Source organism: Homo sapiens, chromosome 17 (assembly GCF_000001405.40).
Source record: "Homo sapiens chromosome 17, GRCh38.p14 Primary Assembly".
Lineage (NCBI taxonomy): Eukaryota > Metazoa > Chordata > Mammalia > Primates > Hominidae > Homo > Homo sapiens.
The window spans coordinates 1438303-1451087 of record NC_000017.11 but is presented as its reverse complement, the minus strand read 5'-3'; the positions used below and the strand labels follow the sequence as shown (position 1 = coordinate 1451087).

General features: G+C 49.8%; 1 protein-coding gene across 2 annotated transcripts in view, besides 1 other annotated feature; it reads left to right on the top strand.

Annotated features, from left to right (window-relative positions):
* The window catches only part of CRK (CRK proto-oncogene, adaptor protein), a 35540-nt gene that overhangs the window by 5145 nt on the left and 17610 nt on the right, over positions 1–12785 (top strand). The gene's annotated exons all lie outside the window — the stretch shown is intronic.
* Positions 12039–12333: an enhancer, noted in NCBI's record as "tiled region #4720; HepG2 Activating non-DNase unmatched - State 18:Pol2, and K562 Activating DNase matched - State 5:Enh". NCBI's record gives its function as "activates a minimal TATA promoter and a strong SV40 promoter by Sharpr-MPRA in HepG2 and K562 cells {active_cell/tissue: HepG2 | K562}" and the evidence as "EXISTENCE:reporter gene assay evidence [ECO:0000049][PMID:27701403]".

Sequence of the window (12785 nt, the reverse complement as noted above, 5' to 3'; positions counted from 1 at the left end):
CCCGAGTAGCTGGGACTACAGGCGCCCGCCACCACGCCCGGCTAATTTTTTGTATTTTTAGTGGAGATGGGGTTTCACCGTGTTAGCCAGGATGGTCTCGATCTCCTGACCTTGTGATCTGCCTGCCTCGGCCTCCTAAAGTGCTGGGATTACAGGTGTGAGCCACCGCGCCCGGCCTATTTGTTTTGTTTTGTTTTGTTTGAGAGGGAGTTTCGCTCTTGTTGCCCCGTCTGGAGTGCAGTGGCGCGATCTCAGCTCACTGTACCCTCCACCTCCTGGGTTCAAGCAGTTCTCCTGCCTTAGTCTCCCAAATAGCTGGGATTACAGGCATGCGCCACCATGCCCAGCCAATTTTTTTGTATTTTTAGTACAGACGGGGTTTTGCCACGTTGTCCAGGCTGGTCTTGAACTCCTGGCCTCAAGTGATCCGCTCGCCTCGGCTTCCCCAAAGTGCTGGGATTACAGGTGTGAGCCATCGCATCTAGCCTACAGAGTATATTTTGTTTACACAGTGCATAGGTGAAAATTATATGGAATGGCTTAGGTGTCATTTTTATGTGTTTTTTTTCTTTTTTTGAGACAGAATCTCGCTCTGTCGCCCACGCCGGGCCGGAGGGCAGTGGCGCGATCTCGGCTCACTGAAAGCTCCGCCTGCCGGGTTCACGTCATTCTCCTCCCTCAGCCTCCTGAGCAGCTGGGACTACAGGCGCCCGCCACTATGCCCGGCTAATTTTTTGTATTTTTAGTAGAGAGGTGTTTCACCGTGTTAGCCAGGATGGTCTTGAGCTCCTGACCTCGTGATCCGCCCACCTTGGCCTCCCAAAGTGCTGGGATTACAGGCCTGAGCCACCGCGCCTTATTTTTTAAACTTTATTTATGTTTTGAGACAGAGTCTTGCTCTGTTGCCCAGGCTGGAGTGCAGTGGGACGATCTCAGCTCACTGCAACCTCCCCCTCCCGGGTCAAGCCATTCTCCTGCCTCAGCCTCTTGAGTAGGTAGCTGGGATTACAGGCATGCGCCACCACTCCCAGCTAATTTTTTTGTATTTTTAGTAGAGATGGGGGTTTCACCATGTTGGCCAGGCTGGTCTCGATCTCCTGACCTCAAGTAATCCACCTGCCTTGACCTCCCAAAGTGTTAGGATTACAGGCGTGAGCCACCGTGCGCAGCTGGGTATTATTTTTAAAGGCATGGGTACAGAATGGGCCAGTGATTCTCAGCCTTTTCCGTTGAACCTGTTTTTAACTTGTCTTGGGTCCTCAGCTTGCATAGGCTTCCTGTGGTGCCATAGCTTGGGAGTTCCCTGGGGCCATAAGGAAGGGCTTGGCCAAGTCTACTGGTCACATTCTGTCAGGTTGGGCTTCAAGATGGACCTCCTTGGAATGCTTGCAAGAAACTAGTTTTTTTTCTCTTGAACAGCTAAACCTTTCAGGTTGACACAGCTGAAGGAGTGTGAGTTAGGAGAGTCGTTATAAGCTTGAGCTGTGGATCCTGGGTTGGGCCTTATTTACCTACCACTTACTGCTTGTGTAACTTTGGGCAAATTGTTTAACTTTTCCCTGCTTCAGTTTCCTCATCTGTGAAGGAGGGAAATAGTAATACTGATCTCATAGGGTTGTTGGAATGATACTCCATATTCAGTACTGGCATACTAAGTACTCCATAAGCATTTCATGTATACGAATCTTAATAACATAACTGAGGTGTGGGGGCTTTTGAAGCAAAATGGAAAACTTCTTATCTTTGAGAGGCTGTGGAATTCATGCTGTGGATGGTAGGAACTGGTGAAACAGTTTGTCTTGGGGAGTAGGTGCCTGGGTGGAGTGCATCCGTAAGTGTGAAAGGACCTCGGGTCCAGCACTTGGAAATAAGATGGTGCCTCCTGTTACCTGCTCATCCGACCTGTTGCGCTAGTGGGTGGAGGGGGGCATAAAACGTGCTTCATTTTGAAGGCGTGGGACAGAAGCTAGGGTGGTAATAGTTTGTGATACTCCCTCGAGGTAGTGAAGAGCTACATGCCAGGCTGGCAGCTGGGCCAAGCCACTTCTGGAGGTAGCGTGAGACTGCTGATGGCCCTGTTGCTCAGGCTGGTGTGCAGTGGCTCCGTCATAGCTCACTACAGCCTCACTGTATGACCCAGGCTGGGCTTGCACTCCTGGCCTCAACAGATGTCTCCCTAAAGATTGGTTAATCAGTTTTTAAAAATAGAGAAAAAAATAAAGAGATCCTCCTGCCTCAGCCTCCCAAAGTGCTGAGATTACAGGTGTGAGCCACCGCACCTGCCTGACCACAGAACTTTTGAGAAGCATCTTGAGATCCTGTGGAATTTTCTCTGGGAAACGGTCCAGTGGGCTCTGGATTTGAGGATGAATTGAAAATTGCTGAAGGAATTTGGAGAATTGGTTGCTTTTTATTGAGCACCTATAATGTACGAGCCACTTTTTCTTTTTTTTTTTTTTTTTTTTTTGAGATGGAGTCTTGCTCTCACCCAGGCTGGAGTGCAATGGCATATTCTCGGCTCACTGCAAGCTCTGCCTCCCAGGTTCAGGCAGTTCTCCTGCCTCAGCCTCCCCAGCAGCTGGGACTACAGGCGTGCACCACCATGCCCAGCTAATTTTTGCATTTTTAGTAGAGATGGGTTTCACCATGTTGATCAGGCTGGTCTTGAACTCCTGACCTCAGTGATTTGCCTGGCTCTGCCACCCAAAGTACTGGGATTACAGGCGTGAACCCCCACGCCCAGCCTCTAGCCACTTTAGGAACTTTATTTATTAGATAGGTATTTGACCCCATTTTGCAGAGTCGGGGGTGAGGCACACAGAAGTTAGGTAACTCAGACAGCTAGAAAATGAGAGCCACAATGCACCAAACCTGCAAAGGACCGTCCTCATACCCACCATCTTTAGAACATTCTATTTGCTTAGGAGACCATATATCTTCTCAGATGGAAACCAGTGGCCTTCTGTCGCCCAGGCTGGAGTGCAGTGGCGCGATCTCTGCTCACTGCAAGTTCCGCCTCCCGGGTTCAAGCGATTCTCCTGCCTCAGCCTCCCGAGCCAGTGGCCTTTTTAGCGTTTTGTATTGGTGGGTATTTATCTAAGCAACCCCTGTAAATACCACAGGCAGAGAAGGAAGGGAGGGAGCAAGAATTGAGGAAAAAAGGGAAAAGAGGGCCGGGTGTGGTGGCTCGCGCCTGTAATCCCAGCACTTTGGGAGGCTGAGGCTGGCTGATCACTTGAGGTCAGGAGTTCGAGACCAGCCTGGCCAACATGGCAAAACCCTGTCTTTCCTAAAAATACAAGAATTAGCCAGGTGTGGTGGTGGGCGCCTGTAATCCCAGCTACTCGAGAGGCTAAGGAAGGGAGAATTGCTTGAACCCAGGAGGCAGGAGGCAGAGGTTGCAGTGAGCTGAGATCGCACCACTGTACTCCAGCCTGGGCAACAGAGGGAGACTCCGTCTCAAAAAAAAAAAAAAAAAAAGGAAAAGAGAAAGTGCTGTGAGATCAAGGAGAGCCTGGCCCGCTCTTGTAGACCCGTCAGAAGTGATTGGGCCTATTTTAGCCCACAGAGCCCTCAGGTGTTCTTCATGAAACCTTCAGGGAGGGAGTGGCCTTGTAAAAATGGTCGTAACCTGAGGCTTGAAATGCTTGGAAGGCTTAGAAGTAACGGGCTGAGCAGGTACCGAGAAGCTGAAAGGATATCCTCTCCTTGCATTGATTTTGATTTCCGTTTGTGTGACTTCCTAACTCCACGTTCAGAATCCAGCACAGGGTGATGTAGAACAAGTCATTGAGGTTTTCCAAGTCCCAGATAGCTATGAGAATCCTGTCGTTGCTTCTGTTCTCTAGACTGGCTGACTGTGCCTCCTTCCTTTCCCGCCCTTCTATTTCCTGCCTTTGGCTGTTTGTGGTTGGAAGGAGAGGAAAGAGAGAAAAGGAGCCGGAACACACAGCCATGGTGAGGTTTGGGCTTATCTGGGACTTATGTGTGTTCTGTTCTCCTCCCTTCCTTCTGGAGTTTGGATCAATGAAGCTTGATGGCCCCCAGCAGTTCACAGAAACGGGCATTTCTCTGTGAAATTATTACAGTGTCAGAATAGAAAAATAATTTATAAGTAAAGTACATCAAAGGTTTTCCGTGGCGTTTTGCTTACGTTTCTGTGTCTATTGGGATTGCCAAACAAAAAGAAAGTCACGGCCGGGCGTGGTGGCTCACGCCTGTAATCCCAGCACTTTGGGAGGCCGAGGCGGGCGGATCACGAGGTCAGGAGATCGAGACCATCCTGGTTAACACGGTGAAACCCCGTCTCTACTAGAAATACAGAAAAAAAAACCCGGGCGTGGTGGCGGGCACCTGTAGTCCCAGCTGCTCGGGAGGCTGAGGCAGGAGAATGGCGTGAACCCAGGAAGCGGAGCTTGCAGTGAGCCGAGATGGCGCCACTGCAGTCCAGCCTAGGCGAAAGAGCGAGACTCCGCCTCAAAAAAAAAAAAAAAAAAAGTCATAGTGAGCCCAGTTCACGCTATTGTGGCATTTGACCAAGAAGAGAATTAAACCTGCTTCCTACCTTTGCGCCAGATGATCTGCCAAGTTTTCTCTCACTCATCTTTCAGAGCGACTTGGCTTAGTAGTCTCATTTGTTCTTTCCCCGCCAAAATGTATTTCGCTCGGCCTGCTATGGTAACAGTGGCTGGCAGGGGGTGGTTACCTTCCTTCTTCCAGTGGAGAGAGTACCTTGGAAGTGTTCACAGATGGTCGTAGTTGCTCATGGCGATTCTGTTGTATCTCAGGACACAGTGCGTTATTCCAACTGTCTTTAGCAGGAACATAGATCCAGGTGAAGGTGAAAGCCGGGTGGGAGGTTGTCTTCCTAAGACGTGCCGCTTTCTCCTTGTTCACCAGCCACACTGTGCTTGCTGTGTTATCTCCAACAATGCTGTGAACTTCTCTGAGCTTCTCCAGTCTAGGAAGGCATTGTGCTTAGCTTCTTTCCATCACTTCAGAGTTAGGCTTATTAAGATAATATCTGGCTGGGCGCGGTGGCTCATGCCTGTCATCCCAGTACTTTGGGAGGCCGAGGCAGGCAGATCACAAGGTCAAGAGATCAAGACCATCCTGGCCAACATGGTGAAACCCCATCTCTTCTAAAAATATAAAAATTAGCAACACTTAACTGAGCACTGACCTGCCAACCACTGTCCCAAAAGGACAACTAATAGAACACCTTGGCATGTAGTTGGGTAAACCTTAGCAAGGGAGCTTTTCTCCACCCAGCTGTGATCAGAACCATTTCTAAGCCATGGGTGCCCAGGTGGCCTCCTTACCACTCTGCCCTAGAGTTTTCTTGACCAGGCAGTGCTAAGTAGGTCCCTATGCGCTCACACTGACCCTGTCCTAAACAGTTTCTCCATAGGCCTGAAAGATCACCCAGAATTAGCCTAATGGTGATAGGCAAGGTAGCCATGAATCTCCTTGACTACCAGACTTGAATAGGAATTATTCTCCATCAGTGATCCTCCTCAATAAAGAGAATCTCCAGAATATAGCACCTCCGTGCTCTGCTACAGTCATAACCAAAATCCCCTCTCCAGTCCTGCCCTCGGAACTTTTGCGATCATCTTCTATTGGTGCATGAGGAGTGTTTGCCATAGAGGACAGTCCTGGCACTCGCACCCCTTTCAGTGTCTTAAATTGGAGAGACAGCCAGTATTCCTGAGTCTGGGCTGTTCACTGTTTTAAGCTGACAGCTGTGAATTCCACAGGTGGACTTTGGGTAATATGAAAAATGTACGGCTCTCCTTCAGATGGTCTCATCATTCATTTGGATGGAAAGAGAAGGCACTCATCAGTACTCTTTCTACCGGAAGGACTTTTCATTGGCTTCCAAAGTTAACATTGTGTCTTATTACCTCTCTCCAATAGTGGAATGATTTTTTTTTTTTTTTGACGGTGTCTCGCTCTGTCGCCCAGGCTGGAGTACAGTGGCGCGATCTTGGCTCACTGCAAGCTCTGCCTCCCAGGTTCATGCCATTCTCCTGCCTCAGCCTCCCGAGTAGCTGGGACTACAGGCGCCCGCCACCATGCCCGGCTAATTTTTTGTATTTTTAGTAGAGACAGGGTTTCACCATGTTAGCCAGGGTGGTCTGGATCTCCTGACCTCGTGATCCGCCTGCCTCGGCCTCCCAGAGTGCTGGGATTACAGGCATGAGCCATCGTGCCTGGCCCCTATGCCATTCTTTTTTTTTTTTTTTTCTTTTGAGATGGAGTTCTGCTCTTGTTGCCCAGGCTGGAGTGCAATGGTGCGATCTCAGCTCACCGCAGCCTCCACCTCCCGGGTTCCAGCGATTCTCCTGCCTCAGCCTCCCAAGTAGCTGGGATTACAGGCATGAGACTCACGCCTGGCTAATTTTGTATTTTTTTTTTTAGTAAAGACGGGGTTTCTCCATGTTGGTCAGGCTGCTCTCGAACTCCCGATCTCAGGTGATCCCCCCCCCCGCTTCGGCTTCCCAAAGTGCTGGGATTACAGGCCTGAGCCACCACGCCCAGCTTTTTTTATTTTTTTAATTGAGACAGGCTCTCCCTCTGTTACCCAGGCTGGAGGGCAGTGGCGCAGTCTTGACTCACTGCAGGCTCCGCCTCCCAGGTTCAAGCAATCCACCTCAGCCTCCGAAGTAGCTGGGACTAAAGGCGCGCACCACCCTGCCTGGCGTTTGTATTTTTTTCGGTAGAGATGGGTTCTTACTGTGTGTTAGCCAGGATGTTTCTAACATTGAACGAAATAATTAGGTCTTTAGCTGGGCGTGGTGGTGCACACCTATGGTCCCAGCTACCCAGGAGTCTGAGGCAGGAGGATGACTCCAGGCCAGGAGTACAAGGCCACAGTGTGCAGTGATGGTGTCTGTGCATAGCTACTGCAGTTTAGCTTGGGCAGCAAAAACCTGCTCTCAAAATTAACAAGACCAGGCACGGTGGCTCATGCCTATAATCCCAACACTTTGGGAGGCCAAGGGGGAAGAGGATTACTTTGAGCTCAGGAGATCAAGACCTGCCTGGGCGACATGGCAAAACCCCGTTATTAAAAAAAAAAAATAGGCCAGGCGGGGTGGCTCACGCCTGTAATCCCAGCACTTTGGGAGGCCGAGGCGGGCGGATCACAAGGTCAGGAGTTCAAGACCAGCCTGGCCAATATGGTGAAACTCCATCTCTACTAAAAATACAAAAAAATTAGCCGGGCGTGGTGGCGGGTGCCTATAATCCCAGCTACTTGGGAGGCTGAGGCAGGAGAATTGCATGAACCCAGGAGGCAGAGGTTGCATTGAGCCGAGATCCTGCCACTGCACTCCAGCCTGGGCAACAGAAAGAGACTCCATCTCAAAAAATAAAAAAAAGTGGGGCTGGGCGCGGTGGCTCACGCCTGTAATTCCAGCACTTTAGGAGGCCGAGGTGGGTGGATCACGAGGTCAGGAGATCGAAACCATCCTGGCTAACATGGTGAAACCCCGTCTCTACTAAAAAATACAAAAAAAAATTAGCCGGGCGTGGTGGCGGGCGCCTGTAGTCCCAGCTACTTGGGAGGCTGAGGCAGGAGAATGGCGTGAACCTGGGAGGCAGAGCTTGCAGTGAGCCAAGATTGCACCACTGCCCTCCATCCTGGGCAACAGTGAGACTCTGTCTCAAAAAAATGATAATAAAGTAAAAATAAAAAATACAAAAATTAGCTGTGTGTTGGTGGGTGGCTTGTGCCTATAGTCCCAGCTATTTGGGAGGCTGAGACTGTAGAATTGCTTAAGCCTAGAAAGTGGAGGCTGCGGCCGGGTGCAGTGGCTCACACCTGTAATCCCAACACTTTGAGAGGCTGAAGTCGGTGGGATCACCTGAGGTCAGGAGTTCGAGACCAGCCTTGCCAACGTGGTGAAACCCCCATCTCTACTAAAAATATAAAAAATTACCTTGGTGTCGTGGTGGCCGCCTGTAATCTCAGTTACTTGGGAAGCTGAGGCAAGAGAATCACTTGAACCCAGGAGAGAGAGGTTGCAGTGAGCCAGGATCGCACCACTGCACTCCAGCCTGGGCAACAGAGCAAGAGTCCGTCTCAAAAAAAAAAAAGAAAGAAAGGGAGGTTGCTGTGAGCTGAGTTTGCGCCACTGCACTCCAGCCTGGACAGCAGAGTGAGACCCTGTCACATACCAGGCACAGTGGCTCACGCCTGTCATCCCAGCACTTTTGGAGGCCAAGGCGGTCAGATCACTTGAGGTCAGGAGTTTGAGACCAGCCAGGCCAACATGGTGAAACTGTGTCTCTACTGAAATTACAAAAATTAGCCAGGCATGGTGGCACACACCTGTATCCCAGCTACTTGGGGCGCTGAGGCAGAAGAATTGCTTGAACACAGAGGGTGGAGGTTGCAGTGAGCCGACATCCAGCCACTGCACTCCAGCTTGGGAGACAGAGCAAGACTCTGTCTTCAAAAAAAAAAAAAAAAAAGACCCTTTCACACACAAGAAAAATCCCAATAAGCAAATAATTAAAATTAATAATGGCTGGATGCAGTGGCTCACATATAATTAAAATTAATAATAGGCTGGATGCAGTGGCTCACATCTGTAATCTCAGTACGGCACTGGCTCACATCTGCAATCTCAGTACTGCAGTGGTGCACATCTGCAATCTCAGTACTCTGGGAGGCCAAGGTGGGCCGATCACTTGAGCCCAGGAGTTTGAGACCAGCGTGGGCAACATAGCAAAACCCCATCTCCACAAAAAATACAAAAACTGGCCAGGTGTGGTGTGCGCCTATAGTCCCAGTTGCTCAGGAGGCTGAGGTGGGAGGATTACTAGAGCCTAGGAAGTGGAGGCTGCAGTGAGCTGAGATTATGCCACTGCACCCCTGCCTGGGTGACAGAACAAGACCCTGTCTCAAAAAAAAAAAAAACAGGCCGGGCGCCCTGGCTCACACCTCTAAACCCAGCACTTTCGGAGGCAGAGGCAAGTGGATCTCTGGAGCTCAGGAGTTCAAGACCAGCCTGGGCAACATGGTGAAACCCTGTCTCTACAAAAAATACAAAAAAAAATACAGGCATGGTAGTGCATGCCTGTAGTCCCAGCGACTTGGGAGGCTGAGGTGAAAGAATGGCTTGAGCCCAGGAAGTGGAGGTTTCAGTGAGCCAAGATCATGCCACTGCACTCCAGCCTGGGCCACAGAGCCAGACCCTATCTCAGAAAACAAAAACAAAACCGCAGCCTGGGCAGTAAAGCAAGACACTGTCTCTATAAAAAAAATTTCAAAATCAGCTGGGTGAAGGGCCGGGCACAGTGGCTCACGCCTGTAATCCCAGCACTTTGGGAGGCCGAGGTGGATGGATCACGAGGTCAGGAGTTGTAGACCAGCCTGGCCAAGATGGTGAAACCTTGTCTCTACTAAAAATACAAAAATTAGCCGGGTGTGGTGGCGCGGGCCTGTAGTCCCAGCTACTCGGGAGGCTGAGGCAGGAGAGTTGCTTGAACCCGGGAGGTGGAGGTTGCCGTGAGCCAAGATGGCTCCAGTGCACTCCAGCCTGGGTGACAAGAATGTGACTCCATCTCAAAAAAAAAAATCAGCTGGGTGCAATGCCACCCGCACCTTTAGTCCCAGCTACTCAGAAGGCTGAGGTGGGAGAATATCTTGAGCCCAGGAGTTTGAGACTGCGGTGAGCTGTGATCACACTACTGCACTCCAGCTTGGACAACAGAGTTAGACCCTGTCTCTAAAAAGAAATAACAAAATCATGTACTCAGGAGACTAAGGTGAGAGGATCGCTGGACCCAGGAGTTTAAGATGAGCCTGGGCCACATAGGGAGTCTCCTGTCTCAAAAAACAAAGCCAAGGCCAGGCGTGGTGGCTCACGCCTGTAATACTAGCACTTTGGGAGGCCAAGGCAGATGGATAACTTGAGCTCAGGAATTCGAGACTGGCTTGGGCAACATGGCGAAATCCCATTACTACAAAAAATTAGTTGGGCGTGGTGATGCGTGCCTGTAGGCCCAGCTACTCAGGAGGCTGAGGTAAGAGGATGGCTTCAGCCTGGGAGGTAGAGGTTGCACTCAGCTGAGGTCTGCACTCCCGCCTGGGTGACAGAGCCAGACCACTCTGTCACAAGACAACAACAAAGCCAAAAACTCACAAAACTCATTTGGATTTTAGGTTTTTTGAGACAAGGTCTCTCTCTTTTGCCCAGGCTGGAATGCAGTGGCATGATCACGACTCACGGTAGCCTTGACTCCCTGGGCTCAGGCGATTCTCCCACCTCAGCTTCTCGAGAAGCTGGGACTAACAGACATGCACCACCTTGCCTGGCTAATGGTTTTTTTGTTTGTTTGTTTGTTTGTTTTTGAGACGAAGTCTCGCTCTCCTGTCCTCATGATCCACCCGCCTCGGCCTCCCAAAGTGCTGGGATTACAGGTGTGAGCCACGTGCCCGGCTTGTTTTTTGTTTTTTTAGGAGATTGGGTCTCACTTTATTGCCCAGGCTGGTCTTGAACTACTGGCCTCAATCAGTCCTCCTGCCTTGGCCTCCCAAAGTGCTGGGATTACAGACGTAAACCACTGTGCCCAGTCATTTTTTTTCAAACATTTATTTTTTCTTTTTTTAAGAGTCAAGGTCTTGCTCGGTCCCCCAGGCTGGAGTGCGTTGACACGATCATGGCTCAGTGTACTCACAAACTCCTAGGCTCAAGCGATCTCTCACCTCAGCCTCCCAAGTAGCTGCAACTGCAGGCATGCACCACTATGCCTGGCTAATTTTTTTTTTTTTTTTGAGACAGAGTCCCGCTCTGTCGCCCAGGCTGGAGTGCAGTGGCGCGATCTCGGCTCACCGCAAGCTCTGCCTCCTGGGTTCATGCCATTCTCCTGCCTCAGCCTCCCTAGCAGCTGGGACTACAGGTGCCCACCACCACGCCCAGCTAATTTTTTGTATTTTTAGTAGAGACGGGGTTTCACCGTGTTAGCCAGGATGGTCTTGATCTCCTGACCTTGTGATCCACCTGCCTCAGCCTCCCAAAGTGCTGGGATTACAGGCGTGAGCCACCGCGCCTGTCCAACCTGGCTAATTTTTAAATAATTTTTGTAGTGATGAGGTCTTGGCTGTGTTGCCTACGCTGGTCTCAAAATCCTGCACTTAAGTGATCCTCCCACCTCAGCCTCCTAAAGTTCTAGGATTACAGGTGTGAGGCACCACGCCCAACAAAATTCATTTTCTTTTTTTTGTTTGTTTGACACAGAGTCTTGCTCTGTTGCCCAGGCTGGAGTGCAGTGGCGTGATCATGGCTCACTGTAGCCTTGACCTTCCAGGCTCAAGCCATCCCCCTACCTGAGTGTCCTGAGTAGCTGGGACTACAAAAGTGTGCCACCATGCCCAGCTAATTTTTTAAGTTTTTTGCAGTGACAGCCATGTTGCCCGGGTTGGTCTTGAACTCCTGAGCTCCAGGGATCCACCTGCCTCAGCTTCCCTAAGTGCTGGGGTTAGAGATGTGAGCAACCGTGCCCAGCTAAAACTCATTCTCTATGGAGAATGTTTACTAGTTGTTATTATTAGAGAGTTGTTTATTACTTCTTCAGGAAACCATAATGTGAAAAATCCAATGAAAATAGTTTGCTGTTTTGGGTGCTTAGCCGAGTGGGAGTTAAAGGTTTGCATTCCTAATTAGAAACTTTGTGGCCGGGTGCAGTGGCCCACACCTGTAATCAATCCCAGCACTTTGGGAGGCCGAGGCGGGTGGATCACTAGGTCAGGAGATCGAGACCATCCTGGCTAACACGGTAAAACCCCGTCTCTATTAAAAATACAAAAAAAATTAGCCAGGCATGGTGGCGGGTGCCTGTAGTCCCAGCTACTCGGGAGGCTGAGGCAGGAGAATGACGTGAACCCGGGAGGCGAAGCTTGCACTGAGTCGAGATTGTGCCACTGCACGCCAGCCTGGGGGACAGAGCGAGACTCCGTCGTGGTGTCCCACACCTATGATCCCAAAACTTGGGGAAGCCGAAATCCTAACAATCCCGGGAGTTCACCAGTCTGGGCAACGTGGTGAAACCCCATCTCTACAAAAAATACAAAAATTAGCCGGGCGTGGTGGCGTGTGCCTGTATTTGAAGCTATTCGTGAGGCTGGGTGGGAGGCTTGCTTGAGGCTGAGGCTGCAGTTAGCTATGATCATGCCACTGCACTCCAGCCTGCGTGACACAGCAAAACCCTGACTCATTTTTTTTTTTTTAAAGAAACTTTGACTCTTGTTTGAATTTACTCGTTTTGTTTGACTGTGTTCATTTATTTTCCTTGAGTTTTAGAATCTCAGCATAGAATAAATCCATTCTGAACTATGGTATGTAGGGCCACCATACACACTCGTGTCTTAGGAATTTTAAGCGTTTGTAATATGTTCTTTCTCTGGATCCTCAGTGTGTTATCAGATGTTGAGTGTTTTAACCCTTTATTTCCCCAAGCATTTTTTTTTTAATGACCTGTTTGCTTCATAGCGAACAGTCTAGTTTCTGTTTTATTTACGATCTCGGGAATTGATTTTTAAGCAGTTAGCCCCTTAGTTTTTCAGTTCAGCTTCTTGGTTCTTTTACCTTTTAGCTGTCAAAGATAAAATTGAGATCACCTATCTTAGATTTAAAAAGATACCAGAGGCCAGGCACTGTGGCTCATCCCTGTAATCCCAACACTTTGGAAGGTTGAGGCCGAAGGATTGCTTGAGCCCAGGTGTTTGAGACTAGCCTGGGCAACATAGTGAAACCCCATCTCTACAAAATATT